This window comes from Homo sapiens, chromosome 5, assembly GCF_000001405.40.
Source record: "Homo sapiens chromosome 5, GRCh38.p14 Primary Assembly".
NCBI lineage: Eukaryota > Metazoa > Chordata > Mammalia > Primates > Hominidae > Homo > Homo sapiens.
The window spans coordinates 66,410,371-66,435,302 of record NC_000005.10 but is presented as its reverse complement, the minus strand read 5'-3'; the positions used below and the strand labels follow the sequence as shown (position 1 = coordinate 66,435,302).

Below are 24,932 nucleotides of genomic sequence, written 5' to 3'. Positions count from 1 at the left end.
GCAAATGGGTCAAAAGCCAGTAGATAGGCTGGCCCATAATTTCTCCCTTACCTTGTGAGAAAATATAAAAAGAATGAGAATCAGGTCATGACTCTCCACCCCAGGAAAGAAGAACAATCAAGAAACACCTGCTAGTGGCATGCCAGGCCAGACACACCCATCGGGGTCTCCTGCAGTCAAGAAGGAGGGGGCCGTGCAAGCTGGGAGGTGAGAGAATCTCCAAGGCCATGGCTTTGGTTTCCAGCAGCATCTCTTTCAGTAAGTTGGTAGGCAGAAAGCATTCTGCAAACTAGGACTGAGGGCAATAAGTAGAATATTGCTGTTAGCATGTAGGATCGTTTATGATTACTCATGCCAGGTCAAAGTTATAGTGTCAAACACTCACACCTGTCAGGGTGAGAAATGAGGGGTCAGCCTGTCAGAAACTATTTGCTACATTGGCTCAAGATTCCTACCCTGTTTGATGGAAAAACATGCGATTCCAAGGGATGTTTCACAGACTGGGAAACAACTGACGGGATACCATAATTACTATTTTTAAATTTCCAGTAAAGACTACACTTATTCTTTTTAGACTCTGCCTACATTGCCAAGATAAGCTGCTAAAAATTCTAATCAGACTGGGCTCAGTGGCTCACACCTGTAATCCCACACTTTGGGAGGTCCAGGCAGGTGGATCACTTGAGGTCAAGAGTTCGAGACCAGCCTAGCCAACATGGTGAAACCCTGTCTCTACTAAAAATACAAAAATTAGCCAGGCATGGTAGTGGGCGCCTGTAGTCCCAGCTATTTGGAAGACTGAGGCAGGAGAGTGTCTTGGATCTGGGAGGCGGATGTTGCCGTGAGCCAAGTTCATGCCATTGCAGTCCAGCCTGGGTAAGAGAGTGAGACTCTGTCTCAAAAAAAATATATATATATAATCAACTTGTTTTTTTATCAAACTATTAATACAACAATTCCTGAATATATATTTAGAAGTGTTAGATGTCCTTATATACCTTTTTCATTATTTAATGCCCCCCTTTACTGCTGGTAATATTCCCTGTTTTCAAGTCTGCTTTGTCTAATATTAATATAGCCACTCCAGCCTTCTATTATTGTTTGATGCATCTTTTACTATCTTCTTAGTTTATGCCTTTATACTTACAGTGAATTTCTCGGTGTGCTTAAATTTATACTTTATTTAATTTTTGATATGGTTGATTAGGTCTTCATTTTATTATTTGTTTTCTGTGTAGGTCATCTGTTTTTGCTTCCCTTTTTCTTCATTCCTTCCTTCTTTGGGGTTATTTGAGTTTAGTTTAATTTAAATGTTTTAGTTTAAATTTCACTTTAATTCATTTATTGGCATTTTGGATATATCTCTGAATTCTTATTTTTTTAGTGGTTTCTCTGGGAATTACAACATACCTGCCTGACTTGTCACACTCTATTTTGAATTAATATTTTACATCAAGTAAAATGTAGGTGTCTTAAAACCACACAGATCCTTTTAGCCTCCAGCGCTGACCTTTATGTCATAGTTGTCATATGTATTATATACATATGTATTATATATGCATATGTTGAAAATCCCACCGAACAATGTTATAGTTTTTCCTCTCAATAGTCATACACATTTTAATCAACTGAAGAGAACAATTTTTTTCCTCTGTCATTTACATTGGATAATTTCTGCAGATTTAGCTTCCCACTAACTGACTTTTCTATCCTCTCCATTTTATTACTGAGCCAATCCAGTGCATTTTTAATTTCAGAGATTGTATTTTTCAGTTTAAAAATGTCCAACTTTGCTCTTTTTATAGTTTCTCTTTCTCTGCTGAGGATGTCTATCTTTCCTCTCATTTCAGGTATGCTTATGTTCCCTCATTAGAACATACTCATACTTCAAAGTCTTTGTCTGATAAATCGAATGTCTGGTTTACATGGGTTGGCATTTGTTGACTGTTTTTTCCCTTGAGAATTGGTCACATTTCTGGGTTCTTTGATTATTGAGTAATTCGGGATTGCATCCTGACAATGTGAGGTTTTGTTGTGTAGACTTTTCATTTCAGTTAAAATCATTTGTAGCGTGTTGATTTTGCTGCTGCTGTTGTTATTTTAGCAGGTCATCAATCTGGTTAGGTTCAGACTGCAAATACTGTCTCACCTTCTGATGTGGTTTGGCTCTGTGTCCTCACCCAAATCTTGTAATTCCCAGTGTTGGGGGAGGGATCTGGTGAGAGGTGATTGGATCATGGGGGCAGATTTCCCCCTTGCTGTTCTCATGATAGTGAGTAAGTTCTCATGAAATCTGATGATTTATAAGTGTGGGGTCCTTCCCCCTTAGCTCTCTCTCTCCTGCTCCACCACAGTAAGATGTGCTTGCTTCCCCTTCATCTTCCTCCATGATTATAAGTTTCCTGAGGCCTCTCAGCCATGCTTCCTATGCAGCCTGCAGAACTGTGAGTCAATCAAACCTTTCTTCAGAAGTTACCCAGTCTCGGATAGTTCTTTATAGCAGTGTGAGAATGGACTAATACACCTTCTTTGGATGGTAATTATTAGTTCAGTTTCTAAAGCAAAGTCTTTACTTTGCTTCTTTAGGTCTGTCCTAAAGAGGATGACTATAGTTTACACTAGTCTATTGTATATTTCAAAATAGCTACAAGAGAAAAATTTAAATGGTTCTAATATAAAGAAAAGACAAATACTTAAGGAGATGGATATCCTAAGTGCACTGATTTTATCTTTACAAATTATGAGTGCATTATATCATCACTTATACCTTGAAACTATGTATATCTATTTTGCACAATTCTTAAAAATTGGATATTCCTATGATTGTCAATTCACTGACTCTCTCCTCTCTCGTCTTTATTTTGTTGTTTAGTCTATCAACTGAGCTTTTCATTTTGGTTATTATATTTTTCACTTCTAAAATTTCCATTTAGTTCTTCTTTATAGCTTCTCTTTCTTTGCTGAGGTTTTATATTTCTTTGATGAGATGTTTTGTTTTTTCATTTGTTTCATGTGCATTTGTAATTGATCATTGAGGCATTTTTATGATATCTCCTTTAAAATCTTTGTCATATAATTCTAACAACTGTGTCATCTTGATGATTGTGTTTCTTTATTTTAGAGCTCACTGGTTCTTGTGATAATGAATCTATTAAAAATCTATTTTTAATAAATTCAATAAAATTTCTATTTTAAAAAAATCTATTTTTTTCTATTAAAACCTAGATATTTTGGCTGGTTGCAGTGGCTCACGCCTGTAATCCCAGCACTTTGGGAGGCTGAGGCGGGTGGATCACCTGAGGTCAGGAGTTCAAGACCAGCCTGACCAACATGGAAAAACCCCATCTCTACTAAAAATACAAAATTAGCCGCAAGTGGTGGTGCATGCCTGTAATCCCAGCTACTTGGGAGACTGAGGCAGGAGAATCGCTTGAACCTGGCAGCGGAGGTTGCAGTGAGCCGAGATCACACCATTGTACTTTAGCCTGGGTAACAAGAGCAAAACTCCGTCTCAAACAAACAAACAAACAAACCTAGATAGTTTAGACAATATGTACTGTGGTTTGGGATCTTATTTAAGCCTTGTTTTAGTTGGCTTGCTCTGACACCACTCTGGCAGGGTACACAAGGGCATCACTTTATTAATTCCAAGTGGGCATTTAAGTCTATGTTCTCAAAACAGGCTCCATTTGGTTGGAGAAGGGAGCTACTCATTATTGTTAGGTGGGATGGGAGTTCTGCATCCCCAGTAGGCCTTCACAAATCCTCCCCAGCTGGAAGGGGAAATACACACCTTGTTATTGCCATGTGGAGGTGAAAGTCCAGGCTCCCTGGGTGGTTCCCACTAATACCATGTGGAGAAAAGAAGGTGCTCGTTACCACCCATTGGGGATGAAAGTCCTGGCTCCCCACTCAGCCTTCTCTGACAGCACCCCAGCAGGAGTAAAGTTGGGTACCTCTCAACATCCTAAGCTCCCCACTCATCCTTCTCTAGTGTTGGTGGGGATGGGGCCATAGTTTTCTATGGTGTTTGACTGGAATAGGGCAGCTATTGCTAGGCTATCCCTTTTTTGGTCCTTTGCCTAGACAGAACAGGTTTTTGCTGGAGTTCTTTCTGTCTATACATTAGTGTACATTAGTGTTTCCAGGTTGCTAGCTTCTTCAGCTCTGAGTCTGAGACATATGAAGCAAAAAGAAAACTCAGGGAACTCACCACCACATCACTGCATGAATTCTGAGGTCCCTCATTGGTCTGCCTTCTTCTCTCCATCTTTCAGAATCTTCGTATGTTTGTTTTATATATATTGTCCAGGAAGTCTTGCTGCATTTAGGGGATGGAATAGGGGGAAGTATGTCTACTCATTTTCCTGGAAGTTTCTATTTTGATATTTTCAGTTTGGGTTTGATTTGGTTTGCTTTTACACTTTGCACAATTGTCTACATGCTTTGCCCATAGGCAGAGGAAGCCTTAATGAAAACTTTTGGCAATCATTTAAATAAATTGGCAATAGCTTGTTTGGAAACATTGGGACCAATAGACTATGAGCCTTTTCCACATTTATTCTGTTCACATCAAAGGATGAAACTGCATTCACACTGTTCTCAAAGGCTTGTTGAATGCTTACTATATCTCAGCCACAGTCCTTGGCATTGGGTATACAATAATACACAAGGTATTATCCGTGCTCTCAAAAAGCTTATGTCTAGTAGGAGAGAAAGAGAAGTAAAGTGCCATTTTAATACACTGTAATATCTACCACGAGGGCCGGGTGTGGTGGCTCACGCCTGTAATACTAGCACTTTGGGAGGCTGAGGCAGGTGGATTGCCTGAGCTCAGGAGTTTGAGACCAGCCTGGGCAACATGGTGAAACCCCGTCCCTACTAAAATACAAAAAATTAGCCAGGCATGGCAGCGTGTGCCTCTAGTCCCAGCTACTGGGGAGGCTGAGGTAGGAGAATTGCTTGAACCCAGGAGGCAGAGGTTGCAGTGAGCTGAGACCGCGCCATTGCACTCCAGCCTGGGTGACACAGTGAGACTCTGTCTCCGTAAAATATAAAAATAAAAAAAAAGTAACTACCATAAGAAGGATAAGCCCATAGGAGAGGCTTTTAATCCAGGCTACGAAGCCAGAGAAAATACAGTTAAAGAGCTAAGAGAAACCAAGTTTTTCTAACTTATATATAAAAGAATTTAATGTAAGGATACTGAGTACAAACAGAAAATCTGGGAAACAGGCTTATAAAGGGCAGAAAGAAAAGCAGCTTTGAAGGGTTAGGAAGCAGGAACCCAGGGAGTATCTCTGAGCCAGAACACTCTGGTCAGAGCCCTGCCACTAATATGGAGGGATTTCAATTTCATTCATCCTTGCACTATTTGTGCAAGATTCAAAGTCCTGGAAGAAAGCATCTAATTGACCAGCTTAGGTCGCAGCTCATCTACCTCCTTGTACCAGGGCCATGAGAGAAATAAGTTTACACCCTTTAGCTTCTGCAACAGGGGCCTGACACATGTATTTACCATCCAAGCAAGGGGACACAAAGGAAAAAAGGGTTAATTCTCCAGAAGGAAATCAGGATACTGAAGGAAGGATGAATGGATGCTAAGCAGCTAAAAAAATGACAAAAGTCCATGGCAGCAGCTAGGTTGCGATCAATGCCTGGGATGACTTAGCTAGTCCCAGAGTGGGACAAGAATATGTTTAGGAAGAGAGACTGGTATGTACAAAGCCTGAGGTAAGAGGAAGCATAGTGAATTCAGATGACTAAAGTATGGTGGTCCATAATGGCCTGGAGATAGAGTTTGGAGAGAGGGTGGGGTGAGGATAGAGGCCAGCATGGGAGAAGGTGCCACTGGACATGAAAATAGGAGCAAAGTGCCACTATATCTTGAAGACAAGTGAAAAGCTGGAGTTCATTCCTTGGAATGAGAGAGATGTTAAAGTATTTTACACAGAGTCATGGCATTTTTGTCTTTGAGTGATGGCTTTGGCTCTTGCAATAATTCAGGTAGAGATGAAGGTAGCTTGAACCAAGATGGTAGTGAATGGATGGAGAGAAGTGATTCATCAGATTTGAGTGAGGAACAGGCAAGGGAGTGGAAGGAGACAGGATGCTTTCCAGGTTTCTGGCTTGAGTTGCCACATGGATAACAACATCATAGACAGGGGAAGGAAATTATGGTAGAGAAAATGGGTTCAGCATTAGACATAGTGGGCTTGAGATAGATGGTTGAATATATAGCTGTGAAGGGCAGGAAAGATCAGAGCAAAAGATTTAGGGTAGGTATCCATCAGTACATAGAAGCCAAAGGGATAGATGAAACATCCTGGGAAGAGTATAGAGAGTGAAAAGAGAACAGACCCTAACGTGCAGCCTTCCCAGCATCGACACTTAAGGATTGGTCCAAGGAAAGGCAGCAGCCAGAGAATCACAAGGATGACAGGAGAGGCAAAGGAAACAGTAGATGTGTGATGTCTGGGAAGCTGAAACAGGGGACTGCTTCAGGATGGGGAAATGGTCAAGTGTCCAGTGTTAAGTAAAGTAAGAAGGGAGAAGTGTCCAGGGGATTTGTCAGCAAGGAGGCAACTGGTGTGTGAGAAGAGCTTCGGAGGCGTTTGGGAGCCCAGCAGCAGATTGTAAGGGGCTGAGGAGCAGGGAGGAGTGAGGACCTGGAAACAGTGCAACCCAGCGGTGCCAGTCCTGCTGCACAAGAGAATCACCTGCAGAGCTTTGAACCCTTATTAATGCCTCAGCTCCACCTCACAGAATTTGGGTTTAGGTAGTCTAGAGAAAATGTACACAATATCAGTTTCCCATGGTTGCTGCAAATGAATTACCACAAACTTAGCGGCTTAGAACAATGCAATTTTATTATCTTCTAATTCTATAGGTCACAAGTTCAACACAGGTCTCACTGGGCTAAATTCAGTGTGTCAGAGGGCTACAGACCCTTCCAGAGACTCTAAGAATCTGTTTCCTTGCCTTTTTTGTTTTTTAGACACGGTCTCACTCCATCACCCAAGCTGGTGGAGTGTAGTAACATGATCACGGCTCACTGCAGCCTCAATCTCCTACCCTTAAGCAATCCTCCCATCCTCCCACCTCAGCCTCTCGAGTAGCTGTGACTACAGGTGCATGCCACCACACCCAAGTAATGTTTTTATTTTTTGTAGAGATGGGGTCTCAGTCTGTGGCCCAGGCTGGTCTTGAACTCCTGGCCTCAAGTGACCCTCCCACCTCTGTCTCCCAAAGTGCTGGGATTACAGGCATGAGCCACTGTGCCTGGCCTCTTTGCGCTTTCAAGCCTCCAAAGACTTCCTTCTTCCATCTTCAAAGGCAACAAAGTTGCATCTCTCTGTGCCTTTTTTCCATGGTAACATCTCACTCTGACTCTCTTCCTCTGCCTCCTTTTTCTATTTTTAAGAACACTTATGATTACTTTTGGAGCCCACCTGGATAATCCAGGATAGTCTTCCCACCTAAGATCCTTAACTTAATCACTTGGAAGGCAGCGGATCCTGGAGGTCAGGATGGGAACATCTTTGGAAGGCCATTATTCTGCCTACCACACATTGGTACATTTTAAAACACCCAGGTGTTTCTTCTGTGCAACTGGGATTAAGCAACACTAAAAAGAGAGAGTGGGTGATAATGGGGTTGATAGAAAGTTTTTTGGTTTTGTTTTGTTTTACAAAATGAGGTGTGCAACAGTAGAAATGAAGGAGACAGTCATTTTAATCCCTAGCTACTTTTTTTCCGTGGCGTCTTAATAGTGAAATTATGTTAGAGAAGAACGATTTTTATTTGACACTTTCTAATGTCTGCCCAGAGCTAACTCCTTTCTTCCTTCTTCCCTTACTCAAAACATGACATATTGTAGAAACTTCCAAACCCATAGTGATAATTAAAAAGACGAGCAAAAGATATGCAGCTGCATGCTCAAGGTGAGCCTGAAGATATCCAAACTTAGATTTATAGAAAATGAGCTTTTCAGAGACAGAAACTGAAGAGGCTAATCTGAAATGAAACTCAATTTTCTCCCATACAGCGGCCTGGGGTTACTTGAGACTGGTCTTTTGTCAGCACTGGGGACTCAGAAATGAAAGTGTGCAGAGATGATCAAATGCCAAGATCGCCATATTGTGCAGGGAAGGCGAGCATGTGTTTTGGTTGGAAGGGGGAACAGTGTTCAATTAATCCTGAAATGTTTGCAAAAACAAATGATGGGCAGAAAGAAAACTCAACTTGAAAGCGGTGTGATTCTTTATGAAAGAACCATCTCCACCAGTCTGGCAGCCACAAAATAAACATGTCAGCCAGCCAGGCCAGAGCACAGATAATTAGGAGTGAGTAGCAGCACATGGACAGTTTTCATTAAAACCAAGGCAGTGTGGCAGATGGGCAGGCCTCAGTGGCCCACCACTGGGGGCTTGGAGGAGGTGGGGCCATTACCTCCTCTGGTCTTCCTGGGGCCCAGGGCCCTAGCTGCTTCCCCTTCAAACGAGGGCCAGGATGGGAAGGCGTGTGTTCGAACTGTGCAAGCATCTTTCCATGCCTCAGTCTCTGGCCAGCAACAGAGGATCATGACAGCAGAGTAATTAAGCCCCTGGGGGAATCCCATAGGCCTGTCAAAGTGAGGGGCTTCCTTCTTGCTCTTCAGACAATTTTCTATGTTCTGGCCACTCCCAGAATTGCAAACTATTTGAGGGTTGCCTTGCCTTTGACCCCTTAAGTACAGAAGAGAAAGAGCCACCAAAAATGCATGTATTCTGTTTAAGCAATTGCCTCATTGTTGCATTTTAAAAAATAAATATTTACGTAATTCAATTAAGGCAGAGTGCTGATCTATGCAGAACGAAGGCTGGGGTTTACAAGGGCGCTGCAGCTACTGTCCCCGTGGTCGAGTCTGGGTCATGAAATAACCATGCCTTAGCGGTCGGACGTGTGCCTGCTTGACAGCAAAGTACCAGTTTGACGACAATGATGCATCCAGTTCCCCGAGGTGGGTCGCTTAATGACTGCTCTGCATCGACCCAATAGAATATTTGATTTGTGTTGCTGTAAAAGGCACTGTCGTCTGCCAGATTGAGGTGAACATTTTGGAACTGACATAGTCAAATACAAGCAGGGCCAAAATATTCTGAGGCTTCCACACTTCCTGCCCCCGCTTCCCCCTTCCTGTCTTCTCTGAGGCAGGCATGCAGATGGGCTAGGATTTGACACACTGACAGTGGTGGGTCTGTATCCAGCAGTTTCCCTCCCTACCACCCACCCACTACCCTTACAGCACTCGCTGTTCTCCCAGCCTCTGTCCCCCTTAAGCCACTTCTCACCACTCAGCAGAGTGCTTTCTTTTCTGCTGTTGGCGTTGCCAGCATTGCTGCTCCACTCTGCTCCTTCTTGGGTAGAGCTGGATCAGAGAAAGAAGACAGGGGTGACAGGACCCAATTTTGACAGGAAAGTTCAGTCCCAATTTCTTTGCTGCTGACTGCATCCGCCTGCAGGGAGCCTGCCTCTGCTCTTGGCACTCCCGTGGGGCACTCTCCTCAAAGGTAAGTGTTCATGCCTTTTCCAGGAAGCCTCTGGGCCCTGGTGAGAAATACAGTCTATGTTTTGGTTGCCCTAATACTCAATGCAAGACCAAATGAGAAAAGTGACAGGCTTGGGGACCAAAGGTAACTGGGCAGCTGTGTGAAGAGTAGGGCCAGTAACTGCTTCAGAGACAGCCTAGAAAGGAAAATGATGTCAGTTTTGCAAAACTGAGTTGGAGATAACTGTGAGACCCTGAATAGATATGCAGTAGATCATTGTGGAATCCTCAAGAAAAATGAAAGAGAAAATCTGAGATTTTAGAATCATCTGCTTTCCACCTTAAATTCAAGTTAGTTTGAAATCCCAGCTTTCTTCTGCATAGTTTCTGCCTGCCATATCTTTTCCCATGCTTTCTTTTCAGTCTTTAAGTGCAGCTTTTGTGTGCAGCATATAACTTGTCTTTCTCTTTTAAAAATCCAATCAGATAATCTATCTTTTAATAGGCGAATTTAATCTCCTTACATTTATTCTGGTCACTGATAGAGTTGGAGTTATTTTTGCCACTACATTTTGTGTTTCTGCTTACCATCCTTTATCTTTATTTCCTATCCCTTTTACTGCCTTCTGTTGGATTGATAACATTTTTCTATATTTCTGCTTTCCCTGCCTCTGCTGGCTTGCCATCTATAAACTGTTTATCTTCTTTGGCAGTTATCTTTAAATTTTTCACATAAACATTTAGCCATAAACTTTCTCACAAAGTCTAAATTTGTTCATTATTTCTATCCTCCTCTAGAACATGAAAAGGACTTAGCACATTTTAACTAAACAATGACCACCCCCTTTCCCCATCTGGTTATTTATCCTTTTTTAACCCTCAAATTTTCAACACACACAAAAAATTTTAATTATTTTTAAACAAACTGTTAAATTTACCAACTTTTTTAAAGAAAGAACCATCTTTTTATGAAAGAACCGTCCCAGTGGTAATAAATTGTGTGCATAAAAATAAATAAATAGCTACAAGAAACAATTGTGCACATACAAATTTGCAATTGCAAAACTATGGAACCAGCCCAAATGCCCAGTGGATAAAGAAAATGTGGTATATATATTACCATGGAATACTACTCAGCCATAAAAAGGAATGAAATAATGACATTCACAGCAACTTGGATGGAACTGGAGACTATTATTCTAGGTGAAATAACTCAGGAATGGAAAACCAAACATTGTATGTTCTTACTCATGTGTGGGAGCTAAGCTATGAGACACAAAGGCAAAGAATGATACATATACTTTGGACTTTGGAGACTCGGGGGAAAGGGTGGGGGTTGGCAAGGGATAAAAGACTACACATTGGGTACTGTGTACACTGCTTGGGTGATGGGTGCACCAACATCTCAGAAATCACCACTAAATAACTTATTAATGTAACCAAATACCACCTGTTCCCCCAAAAACTTATTGAAATAAAAAAATAAAAATTTGTTTTAAAAAACAATTTTCTAAAATAGACTTATTTATTTGTATGCACAAAATTGTTTACTGTAATTCAGCCTTTTCTCTGGGCTTGCTTTCATCCTAAAGAAGATTTTTTTTTAAGCAGGGTACATTGGCTCATGCCTGTAATCTCAGCACTTTGGGAAGCTGAGGAGGTAGGATTGCTTGAGCTCAGGAGTTCAAGACCAGCCTGGGCAATATAGCAAGACCTCATCTCTACTAAAAAATCAAAAAAATTAGCTAGGCCTGGTAGTACGTGCCTATAGTCCCAGCTACTGGGGAGGCTGAGAGGGGAGGATCACTTGAGCCTGGGAGATCAAGGCTACAGTGAGCTATAGATCATGCCACTGCACTCTAGCCTGAATGACAGTGAGATCATGTCTCAAAAAAGAAAAGTAATGATTTATTTCTGAGAATGGTAAAGTCTTTTAGATGTGGCATCTCTAACAATTTTATTATTTTTCGCTCACTCTTGAATAATAGTTTAAATGACTGCAAAATATTATGTTGACTATTAATTCCTCCCCGTGCTTTCAGGAAATTAATCTACTGTCTTCTGGCATATATTGTTGCTGATGAGAAGTCTGCTGTCAGTCTTACTGGTTTCTCTTTGTAGATAAAGTGTCTTTTTTTTCTGATCACTTGTAAGTGCATTTTTGGCTTTATCCTTGGTATTTTTTAGTTTCACCATAATGTGTCTCAGTGTTGGCTTACTTTTATTTATCCTATTTGTTTCTCAGGTGCACTTTCAATCGAAACCATGTTTTTCTTCAATTCAGGAATATCCTCAGCTATTATATTTTCAAAGATTGCTCTTCGTTATTCCCTTCTTCTTCTGGAAACCCTATTTAGATATCTGTTACGGTTTCTTATTTATCTATTTTGTCCCCCAAATGTGCTTTCACGTTTGTAAAAAGATTCTCTTCAATCTCTATGTTGCATCCTGATGAATTCTTCAATACTACATTCAAATCCATTAATTTCATCTTTGACTGTGACCAGCCTAAAGTTTTATCTTATCTGTTGGGTTTTTAAATTTTCAATTATCACATTTTTTTATTTCCAATATTCTAATTTAATCTTTTCTCATATTCACTTATTGTTTCATTTCTCCTTTGTTGTTGCTGTTTCAAAGTTTTATGTTTTATTATGGATTATTTTTAAATTTAGCTCTTTGAATATTTTAAGCATTATTATAAATACTTTGTAAGATTGTTTTATAAAATTAATTTTTAAGTGAATTTTTTCCTAATTGTTCACTGTACTCTTTTTTTAGCATTTGATTCCTATGAGTTTTGTGATTTTCATTTACAATTATTTGTCTTTTTTGTTTTGTTTTATTTTTTATATTTTCTGTCTCATGATCATCCCTGGAAACTAGAGAGACTATAATAGGTTGCAAGGCTTACAAACCCAACTTCCAATTTCCTAACACCCTTTGGACTTTATATGTAATTTGGAATACATCATTTAAATCTAAAGAACAGTGTATTAGTCAGCTCAGGCTGCCATAACAACCACCACTGACTGGGCAGTGCTGCTGGCAGGGTTGATTTCTGGCAAGGGCTTGCTTCTTGGCTTGTAGTCAGCCACCTTCTCACTGTGCCCTCATATGGTGTCTTCTTTATGCTGGTATGGGGAAGAGGTTTAGAGATCTGGTGTCTCTTCCCCTTCTTGTAAGGAACCAGTTTATCACATTAAGGACCCACCATTATGACTTAACCTTTATTACTTCCTTATAGGCCCTATCTTCAAATGTAGTCACATTATAGGTTAAGACTTCAACATATAAATTTGGAGGTGACATGATTCAGTCCATAACACACAGATTGGATAAAACATTATTTGGGAGTGTGTGCATGTGTTAACTTGTGAATGGAAGGGCTAGGACACTTTACTCCCCACTTTACCCTTGATATCACCAGCAGTTGCCTGGAGCTTTCCAATGTGCAGGTGGAGAAGTGAAGGGGTCACTCATGGGATCAGTTTACTGCTTAGCTGTCATTTTTGGTTGCTGACCATCCTCTCTTCCAAAATAAAAAGGCATAGTTCCTGAGGCTTCTGCTCTATGTGTGCCACCTGAAAAGGGCCTGAGATGTGCTACAGAGGAGTCTGTGGGAGATCAGCAGAGGCAGGAAGATGGCCTTTTGTATGCCCTCTTAGGTACTGAGCTCTCACATGTCCTGGCACAGAAGAATGGAACAGCCTGTTGACATGGTTATAGCTTCCTCTCTTTGGGGCCAGTTAGGATTGTTTTAAACATTAGACACCACAGGCTTAGTGCTACAGTCCACTGGATTTTTAAGGACCTCTGAAAATGTCTGAGACTTGAGAACAAAAGATAATTCCAAAATAAAAAAAGAAATCTGATCAAATTAATACAATGTATTTAATCACAGATAGAACCTCATACTTAGAATAACTAGTCAATAATAACTCAAATCAATCTTTATACAACTGTTTAGTTGCACACGATGATTCCTTTGCCTGGAATATATCTCCTCCCCTTTTCTGCCTGGAAACTTCTTACTCAGGCCTTAAAGCCCAGTCAGACTTTACTCACTCCATGATGTGTTCATTGATGACCCCTGGCCCCCAAGAAAACACAGTTCTCTTCACTGTGCTCTTTCAATATTGTATATACCTCAAAAACCTATTTGTATTATATTTTTTCATAACTCCGTTTCCTCCTTCAACCCCGAACCCAAATGATAATTTTCTTGTGGGCAGGGACTATAGGTTGTCTCTGCAGTGGCTAGTAATATACTATTGTTAGTGAATATGATGTGTATTATTTTTTATCAGTTTGCTGTTGGAGACTATTTCTGTGCATTTACATCTCTCTACAAAGAGATTAACACACACGTCAAGTAACTGGTTGCCCTTCTCCTGCTCTGCTTTTGTATGGGCTCTTGGCCACCTCTGCCAATGGAAGGCACTGACACAAGATTGGAGGGTAGGAGGGAGGAAGAGCCTCTCTCTGCTTTCTCTGGCACCTCCTCCTCAGCTTCAGAACCCATAGGACAGGCCCACCAGGTTCCATCTCCCAGAGGATGACCTTGATTTGAAGGTCCAGAAACATGATCCCCTCCCTCTGTCCCTCCAGCAGAGGGGCAGGAGTGGCTTCCTGCTGATCACTGGATGGTTTCTCTCCTATTTGCTTCTTTCACTTCCTACTCATGAATGAAACCAATTCTCTATACTAGACTCACACTGTTTTTCTAAATTGTGGTTAAAAAACACATCACATAAAATTTACCATCTTCACCATTTCTAAGTGTACAATTCAGTAGTGTTAAATGTATTCACCTTGTTGCAGATTCATTTTGTTTTAAACACCAGAAAAGTTTCTATTTTGCTGGATGATATAGTTCTTGCACAAGTTTTAAGAACCAGATTCTCAACTAAGAAACAAATTCTTCAGTAAAGTTTCAGGATACAAAATCAATATACACAAATCAGTAGTACTGCTATACACCAACAGCAATCAGGCTGAGAATCAAATCAAGAACTCAATCTCTTTTACAACAGCTGCAAAAAAATAAAATAAAATATTAGGAACATACCTAACCAAAGAAGTGAAAAATTCTTACAAGCAAATCTACGAAACACTGCTGAAAGAAATCATAGATGACACAAACAAATGGAAACACATCTTATGCTCACGGATGGGTAGAATCAATATTGTGAAAATGACCATACTGTCAAAAGCAATCTATAAATGTAATGCAATTCTCATCAAAATATCACCATAATTTTTCACAGAACTAAAAAAAAATTCTAAAATTTATATGGAACAAAAAAGAGCCTGCATAGCTGAAGCAAGACTAAGCAAAAAGAGCAAATCTGGAGACATCACATTACCTACCCTCAAACTATATTACAAGCCTATAGTTGGCAAAACAGCGTGGAACTGGTATAAAAACATGCACATAGACCAATGGAACAGAATACAGAACCCAGAAATAAAGCCAAATACAGCCAACTGATCTCTGACCAAAGCAAACAAAAACATAAAGTGGGGAAAGGACACCCCATTCAACAAATGGTGCTGGGATAATTGGCACACCACATGTAAAAGAATGAAACTGGATCCTCATCTCTCACCTTATACAAAAATCAACTCAAGATGGATCAAAGACTTAGAAATCTAAGACCTGAAACCATAAAAATTCTATTATAGAAGATAGCATTGGAAAAACTCTTGTAGACATTGGCCTAGGCAAAGAGTTCATGACTAAGAACCCAAAAGCAAATGCAACAAAAACAAAGGTAAATAGATGGGACTTAATTTAACCAAAAAGCTTCTACACAGCAAAAGAAATAATCAGCAGAGTAAACAGGCAACCCAGGAAGTGGGAGAAAATCTTTGCAATCTATACATCCAACAAAGGACTAATGTCCAGAATCTACAAGGAACTCAAACAAATCAGCAAGAAAAAAAACAAATAATCCCATCAAAAAGTGGGCTAAGGACATGAATAAACAACTTTCAAAAGAAGATATATAAATGGCCTAGCAAACATATGAAAAAATAGTCAACATCACTAATTATCAGGGAAATGCAAATCAAAACTACAATGTGACACCACCTTACTCCTGCAAGAATGGCCATAATTTAAAAATTAAAAAAAAAGTAGATGTTGATGTGGATGTGGTGAAAAGGGAACATTCTTACACTGCTGGTGGGAATGTAAACCAGTACAACCACAATGGAAAATAGTATGGAGATTCCTTAAAGAACTAAAAGTAGAACTATTTATACCATTTGATCCAGCAATCACACTACTGGGTATCTATCCAGAGGAAAATAAGTCATTATATGAAAAAAACACTTGTACATGCATGCTTATAGCAGCACAATTCACAATTGCAAAAATAGGGAACCAGCCCAAATGCTCATCAAACAACGAGTGGATAAAGAAAACGTGATATATATCATACACACACACACACACACACACACACACACACACACACACACACACTGTGGGATACTACTCAGACATAAAAAGAAATGAAATAATGGCATCCACATCAACCTGGATGGAGTTGGAGACCATTATCCTAAGTGCAGTAACTGAGGAATGGAAAACCAAACATCGTATATTCTCATAAGCTATGAGGATGCAAAGGCATAAGAATGATATAATGGACTCTGGAGACTTGGGAGGAAGGGTGGGAGGGGGTGAAGCATAAAATAATACACAGGGTGCAGCGTACACTGCTTGAGTGATGGGTGCACCAAAGTCTCAGAAATCACACCTAAAGAACTTATCCATGTAACCAAACACCACCTGTTCCCCCAAAAACTATTGAAAGAAGAGGAGGAAGAGGAAGAAAGAGAAGAGGAGGAGGAGGAGGAAGAAGGAGGAGGAGGAGGAGAGAGGAGGGAGGAAGAGGGGAAGGTGGAGGAAGAGACAAATTCTGGTTTGGGTTGCTCACCTGGTAGAGCATAAATATTGTGATTATCCTTGCAAATGGAAGTAAAATGTGGCAGGCAGTGGCAACACATTTACTTAAATTGTCACCTAAATGTTGCTTGGGATAATGTGCCAGTTAAGACAGGGCTTTGGAAGATCAAATACAGTCATGCACCACATAACAATGTTTCCGTCAACAACAGACCTCATATACCATGGTGGTCGGAGCAGTTGGCCATACCACCTAAGTCTGTGAAAGTACACCTAAGGACGCATTTCTCAGAGCATGTCTTTGTCATTAAATAACAACTGTAACTCGTTCACTCAATAGGTATAAGCTATTGGGTGGCTCCTGCTTCTAAAGGTGCCAAACACTTACAGAAAAGAAACTATCAGCTCAGGCACAGTTACAGAACCAAAGGGTTTCTTTAGCATCCTTAAAATAATCTATTTCCAGTAACCACTGAGTGGACAGCTGAAGATTTGGCCCAAAATCTGATTGTGCACGTTGCAAGTTACAATGTAAACTAACACAAAATCTAGCCACATCTCATAGGCTAATGTTAGGCCATTAGTTGAGAAGACATGGGATCCCGAGTCTTGAGAGGACATTTGGGTAGTTTGCCAATGCTTAGAAGCTTGAACTGACAAATCCCTCTGGGCCCCCTTTCTGTGGAGCCAGACCAGCTTCTCCTGTCTGTGGAAGCTAGCCTTCCCTTACTTAAAGTCTCTAATGTAATGATCATATCTCAGGCAGCTTCCTGCCATGGGATATTATTCTCCTCCAGACCTACTCCTGTGAGTTCTCATTGCTCTGGATGCATAAATAGAATTAGACACCACTGTACTCTCAGGGGAGGACAACAACATCCGTTCTGGGAAAAAATATTTTATGCACCAAAGGAAATGTAAGATCATGCTAATTCTTATGAGCAGGAACCTGGAGAACAGCTGTGCAAGTAAATTGTAAGGATGAGAGTCCAAGAATAGAAAATAACATGAGACGAGGCTGAATTTATCAATAAGGATTCACTTACTCAAGATTCCAGACAATGTTCTAGCTCATGCAGCTGGAAACAGTTTCTGCAGTTTTCTTGATTGGTTGACTGAAACTTGGATTCAACTGCCTACACTCAGTTACATCAGGATGCCAAAACTTCCCTGGTATAATGAGCTCTGCATTCTTCTGTCAGCACCACTGTCCATGGAGTTCTTAGGGAACTGTCTTAAGGAGTTCTTCATTTATCATCATGGTATCTCACATAACATTCTGAGCAAGTAATACATTTTATACTGAAGGAAGTACAGCAATGGCTTCACACTCATGGAATTTACCAGCCTTACCATATTCCTCAATTGTCCAGAAGCAGCTGGCCTGATGGAATGGCTCACTGCAGACTCAGTTAAAGTGTGAGGTTTGGTACCAAGCTATAGAATGCAATATATGCTTTTAACTGCAACAAACTGTTGGTGCTCTTTCTTCTGTAGCCAGAACACATGAGTCTGGGAACCAAGGAATAAGAATCGACCCCATTAACTATTATACCTATTCTTAGAGATTTGCTTCCTATTCCTGCAATCTTGGAGTTGTCTCCAGGTGAGGACTGCTTTGACAGGAAGTAGAAGGGGAAACCGCCATCTAGCTATTTGGATTTCCTCATGTCACTGCACCAAAACACAGAAAATGAAATCGATTTAAATTAACAAGGGGGAAATTGGGTTGTTACTACACAATGGAGGTAAAGAGGCCATCATTGGAGCCAGAAGATATGCTGAGATGCCTCTTATTACTTCCAAGTAAAGATCAATAGAAGACTACAACAATCCAACAAAGGCATGGCCACTAAAGACTCAGAGTCTTTAGGAATTGTGTTTTCAGTTGCCCCAGCAGGTCAAGGACCCCAACCAGGTGGTGTGCTGAGTAAGGGCAAGGTGGCAGAGAATGGGTGATAGAAAGAGGAAGTTATAAAAATTAACTGTTGTCTCATGACCAATGACAGAAATGAGGACCCTAGCAGCTATAAATATTTTTGTTAGGTTTATATTATTCAATTATTTCCTTTTACTTTCCTTTTCCCTTTTTTTAAAATGATGATTGTTGGTGATATTTAACTTTTCAACTAAGTCAATAGGCATCTAGACTAGGAGAAGCAGCATCCAGACCTTTGGGAAGGATAATTTCAGTTGGAAATCATGCACTTGAAATGGATATGACAACCAGTGGGACCTTGGGTCTCCCCTTGTTGGGAGAGAGTGAGAACAGTTTGATTTGTATGACAAATGCCTCGCTAGGCAAATAAGAATAAATGCCAGGTTGCAAAAGGGGTTGATCATGTAGGGAAACTGCCTGTTTGTTTTTATATCCATGCTTTGGTCCACATTTTCTCTATTCTGGGAACTGTTTCTCAGGTTCTCTTTCCCTCTGGCTTCCAAGTAGATATGAACAATGTGTGTGTGTGTGTGTGTGTGTGTGTGGCGGGGAGGCAGGGGCAAGGTGATAGGGTAAGACTGGAGGGTGGGAGGAAGAGAGAAGCCAAAAGCCTTTCTCCCCGTCACCCTGGTTGTTGTGGCATCTCTGGTGGTAGCTGCAATTTTTCTATGGCTTCAGCTCCCATTGGAAAGACCCTCTGTGGTTCCTGCTCACAATAAGTGGCCTCAGCATCTGGGCTCTGATAATATTATCTCTTAAGTTTGTAGGGTACCTTTTACCTTTTCAATCAATTCCCTGAATTCAATTTCCTCTGTTTTAAATATTTAAAGGGCTTTCTATTTTTCTGGTTGGACCATGACTGATATAGTTTGTTTTGTTATGTTGTAAGAATAGGCTGTATACTGTTCCACAACTTGTTCCTTAACCCTACAATGGACCAGAGACATCTCTCAATTTCAGACAACTAAATCTAATTCATTCTTTTTTACTGAGATATTATATAATTCAAATACCATAAAATTTGCCCTTTTAAAGTGTATAGTTCATTAGTTTTTAGTATATTATTTACAAAGTTGTGCAACCATTACCACTATCTAATTCCAGAATATTTTAATGATCATCAAAAGAAACCCTATACCAATTAGCAGTCACTCCTCATTCTCTTCCTCTCCCCAGTCCCTGGAAGCTATCAATCTGTGTTTTGTCTCTATGGATTTGCCTCTTCCAGACATTTCAAATAAATAGAATCATACAATATGTGGCCTTTTGTGCCTGGTTTCTTTCACTTAGTTTAATATTTTCAAGGTTGATCCTCACTGTAGCATACATCAATACTTATTCTTATGGCTAAATAATATTTCTTTTTATGAATATACAACATTTTGCTTATTCATTCATCAACTGATGGACATTTGGGTTGTTTCTATTTGTTGGCTATTATGAATAATGCTGTGTGAATATTCATGCACAAGTTTCTATGCTGGCATATGTTTTCAGTACTCTTGGGTATATTCTGCTGAGTCATATGGTAACTCTTTGTTTAACTTTTTGAGGAACTGCCAAGTGTTTTCCAAAGCAATTGTACCATTTTACATTTTTAACCCATTCTTTTTAATAATTTCACAAAATTTCACAATATGGCAATATAAATGTTCCATAATTAATTTAACCCTTCCTCCATTGAAATACATTTAGGTTTTCTCTATTTTTTCATTATAATTAATCACAATTATTTATGAACATAAATAACTTTATGGACCTCCGTAGGTATAGGGATTCTTGGATGTAAAATTGCTATGTCCACCAATATTTAAATTTTTGCTTTGAAATGTGCCAAAGTACCACCCCCCCCCAAAAAAATTTACTAATCTACACATACAACAATATAAAAAGAGAGCCAATTTTCCCAAACCCCTTCTAACACTGGATAAATTTTTGGTTTTGCCAATCTGACAGGGAAAACTACCTTTTCGTTTTAATTGCATTGTTCTGATCACTAGTGGAATGGAATGTCTTTCAAGTACTCATATATTTATTGCCAAAACATAAACAGCTAGATTGGCTGATTTCTAAAATTCTTCACAGCTATAAAATTTGACTTGTGTGATTTCTACTTTGGCAAGAAGTGATGGTTCTGACAATGCTGGCTGAGGGCAGAACTGGCTTTATGGAGCATGTGATTGTCTAATTACATTTCATAGGTGCTGGAACAGGCCCTCATGCTCCCAAGATCCTCCCATAGGATGCCCACTCATAGAGCCACATCTCTTTAGATTTAGCCTAGGAAAAAAAGCCAATGGCCATAGGAGAGGGACAAGTTAGCACAACCAAGGGAATAAGAGCAAGTGTTGACTGAAACTAGGGAACTGATCTTTGAGATGGCAAAAGCATATAGAAGAGAAAATCTGGAAGACTGGAGAACAGAATTGACCTGTTTCTCATGTTTGCCTAAAACCAACCATTTCCCAGAAAGTAGATTGTGTTGTAATAGAATTGGCCTTGAATGTAGAGTTGGGAAATTTAGGGTCTAGTCCTGACTCAGACATTAATGAGAGGTCTTGGGTCATTTCCATGCCTCACTTTTCTAATCTGTTAAATGGTAACATTCCCTATTACACCAAATTATTTTAAAGTTCAAATAAAAGAACAGGTGAAAATGCAATGAAAGAAAATAGTGTTCTACCTGAGTGCCAGTGCTATTTGCTCTTTTCTCCCACATCCAGTAGTTACAATCACAGAAGCAGCATATCCTGGCCAGCTGTCCAGATGGAAGTGCCTGGCAACTCTACTCCTCCACTTGACGGGAATCCCAAAATAAATCTACTTAGAAACACACAAACTAAAGGAGCCACACTCCCTCCATGCTTCTCCCATTCCAGAACTCAGCATACCTGCACTCCAGTACCTGAGCTTTCTTCATCTCCTAAAAATATTAAGAGAGCAATTTAAGGTTCCAGATGGGCTTTGTTTATGTTTCACCTGTTTCTCAGGTCATCTTATTCCCTCGTGTTTTCCTTTGTTGTTCCAATTATTTCCCAAACCCCTCCACATTTCTTTGTAAGTCAAATTAAGTGGTGGGTAAACCTGGAAGACAGCTAGTGGGCTGTCCTAATTCTTAACTATGGACTAGAGAGCATGCACAATTAGGAATTGTGATGGAAAGAACCTAGGGATTACATTTCCTATCCCTATAACATCTAGCTGTGGCCATGTAACTAGTTTTCACCCATGGGCTGTGAGTTGCAATCCTGTTGTCATCGCCTGACATTCTGTTTTATCTTTGCCAGCTGGATACACATGACAAGGTCTTAGAGAATGGCTAAGCCATTCTCTTCCATGAGACGGAAGGAACCACACACTGACGACCACATTCCAGTCAGTCAAGGAAAGCTGACTTGCTTTGACTATTAGATAAGTGAGAAATAAAATTCTGTTATTTAAATTTGAGGTCTATTTGTTTAAGCAGTTGCTATTATTTGAACACCCTGCCTGAAAACATTTCACCAACAGTCTGACCATTTTAATAAACTACAGAATAGCAAACCTCGTGAAATTCCCAACAGCCATCTTCATTAAAGCCTAGACATTTCTTCAAACATAAAGCTTAATAAATTATCCTCATGTCAGAGGAAAGCTCAATTCTGCTATATCTAGCAATTTTTGGCTTGTGTTTTGAAAAGCTCTGAAGTATGAGAAACAGATGTCTTAACAACAAAAAGTAACAATGAATATGTTGATGTTCCTGAAAATTATCAGGAAGTACGAAAAATTTAATGAAATTAATCTTCTTCAGGAGCTTACAATTTAAATGGGAAGGCAAGATGCTTACACAAGTAACTCTACTTAAAGACCAAATGTCTGGGTGGTACCAGGAATAGGTGCCCTAAGACTTTTAAAGAAGGTAAAATCACTTTTATTTGGGGGCAATATCATAAAGCTTCATGGAGGAAATGGGATTTGAGCTGTGCCTTACAAGTTGGGTGGAATTCGGGGGTAGAATCATGTACACAGATCAACAGAAATTAAACTGGCAAGTTAAGCTATTGTTAGATATCAGATATCTAGAATGTCTTGAATGCCAGGAATAAGAAGTGGGACATGATTTTATAGGCAACAAGGAGCTGGTAGTTTTAGGTCTCCTTTAAGTCCTAGAATTTTAGATCTAAAAAATGTTTCTGACCTATAGTGGCCATGGTGGCTGTCTTTTCTTTCCAGTGATATACTGCAACCCATCTTTATTTTCCTATGCCTACTTCCATCGTCCCCAAATTTCAGTTATTCGAATGCCACCTTCACATTTTTCTTCCATACCTATATACCACTTGTATATTTTTATTTAATAATTTTTATACCTAAAATATATAACTCCTAGTTGACTCCTAGGCAAAAAATATCTATGAAATTACAGGGCGGATATATAGGCTGGATAAAATATTTTCTAATACATAGTCAAATAAATGCATGCTTATGAACTTTTTTTTTAATGTTCTGTTTGCCCCCTACCTGTGTTCAGTCTTCATTAGAGATTTACAGATCACACTTGGCAAAACATGGTCCTACTCTGAACCATTGCACACATCTCTCCTGGGTTTTCAACTCACTTGTCTCTCCACATCCACTCTGCCATCTTGTTTTGTTCATTTTGTAGACTCAGTAACTAATGAGTACATAATGTTGCCACAGACAGTCCCAGAATCTTAGTGGTTCAACAAAACAAAAGTATATTTCTTGCTTATGGCACAGGTGGAACAGCCCTTCTCTATCTTGTAGCTTAATCATCTGGAATACAAGGCCTCCAGGGTGACCATAGTGGGGAAAGAGTGAGGCAATCATATGGGATTATTGAAGGATCAGGCCTCAAAGTAGCCTCTGTCACTTTTGCCCACACCCCTTTGGCCATATGGCCCCAACCCAGCCACAAGGGAGGCAGAGAAATACAGCAGACCTCACAGATAGTGGTAAACACTAAGGATCTCTGCCACTGTAAACTGGGTACTATTGACTTAGAGATCCCCTGAGCCATTGATCCAAAAACTGCCCCGGGTATTGGCCTTGGTGTCTCATAGTCAAAAGTTCAGATGCATCTGCTTAACTGGGCAGGTATTTTTTAATCAAAATGGCCACTAAGGAACTTAAGCAGCCAAGCCTAGCATTTATCCTCTGCACTTATCCCTCATTATTAGAAAAGACAAATATTTTTTCTATTTGTAAAACAAATAGTTTTACAGTATTCCTCTATTTTCACTGTATTTACCATTCCCCCTCTCAATCTCTATATCAGAGTTTGAAAATACAGACTGTACTAGTTTCCTATTGCTGCCATAACAAATTCACACAAATTTGGTGTTTTAAACAACACAAACTCATCACCTTACAGTTCTGTAGTGGAGAAGTCCAAAACAGGTTTTCCTGGACTAAAATCAACGTATCAACAGGGCTGTGTTCTTCTCTGGAGGCTGGAGGGGAGAATCTGTTTCCCTGCCCTCGCCAGCTTCCAGTGCTTCCTGCATTCCTTGGCTCATGGCCCCCTTCCATCTTCAAAGCCAGCAATGTTGCACTGCGTCTTCTTCACATCAGATCACTTTGTCTCTGACTCTTCTGTCTCTCTCATCCACTTTTAAGGATCCTTGTGATTACATGGGGCCCACCTGTGTGATCCAGAGACCTCTCTGTCTCAAGGTCAGCTGGCTAGCAACTAAATTCCATCTATAACCTTAATTTTCCTTTGCCATGTAACATAACACATCCACAGATTCTGGGGATTAGGACATGGCCATCTTTGGGCAACCATTATTCTGCCTACCACAGAGGCCCACAGGCCAGATTCAGTCCATGGATATGTTTTGTTTGATCCACCTAGTATTTTCTCTCTTTTTTTTTTTAAGATTTCAAAAAAAAAATTTTAACTGTAAATTAAATGTTTTCAAATTGGAAGATTTTATATATTTTAAAAATATCTATGTCTAGCTTTTCCTGAAACCTCAGGAGGCCTAGGAACAAAGACCTGAATTCCCTTATTGAAACAATTGGCTGGTGCTAAGCAGTGGCTGCGCTTTAAATGGGGCACGGAGCCCTCCAGGTGGGCGGCATGATCTCTGGCGCTTCCTATCACCTGTATTCCTGGCACACTTCAAGTTATATGACTTGCCTTGCCCCTTTAAGTTTGCAAACTTGTATGAGGCATACTAACATCTGGATCCCAAACTATCATTTTACTATCTGTACTGGACTTGAGATGCCTTCATTCTCTGTTGGGTGCACACCCTCCTGATGGGAATTCTACCATCTTACTGCCTGTACAGAGATGTCATGATAGCCCTTTCTTCTGATTCTAGAAGGCAAATGGGCCTATGACTTGGGAGTAGGAGGGTTGACAGATGTGTGGCTAGGTAATCAGCAGCATTCACAAAACCCTCCCAGGCCTCTGTGTCATAAATCTCCTCAAGCGGCAGGGACATTTGTGCATCCTGTCACAAGGGACAAAGTTTTAATGTGCTGCCTCTCCATCAGCACCCACCCCCTCTTTTTTTCCTCTCTTCAGCCCT

The 24,932-nt window shown here is 40.1% G+C and overlaps 1 long non-coding RNA gene across 2 annotated transcripts in view; it reads left to right on the top strand.

Annotated features, from left to right (window-relative positions):
* The window catches only part of LOC105379003 (uncharacterized), a 92,996-nt gene that overhangs the window by 5,124 nt on the left and 62,940 nt on the right, over window positions 1–24,932 (top strand). Inside the window, exon 2 of one of the 2 annotated variants that reach the window (XR_001742683.2) lies at window positions 8,832–9,001. The exons of the other annotated variant lie outside the window; for it this stretch is intronic. This is a non-coding gene — a long non-coding RNA (uncharacterized LOC105379003). The remainder of the gene's footprint in view (window positions 1–8,831; window positions 9,002–24,932) is intronic. 2 annotated transcript variants of the gene reach the window in all.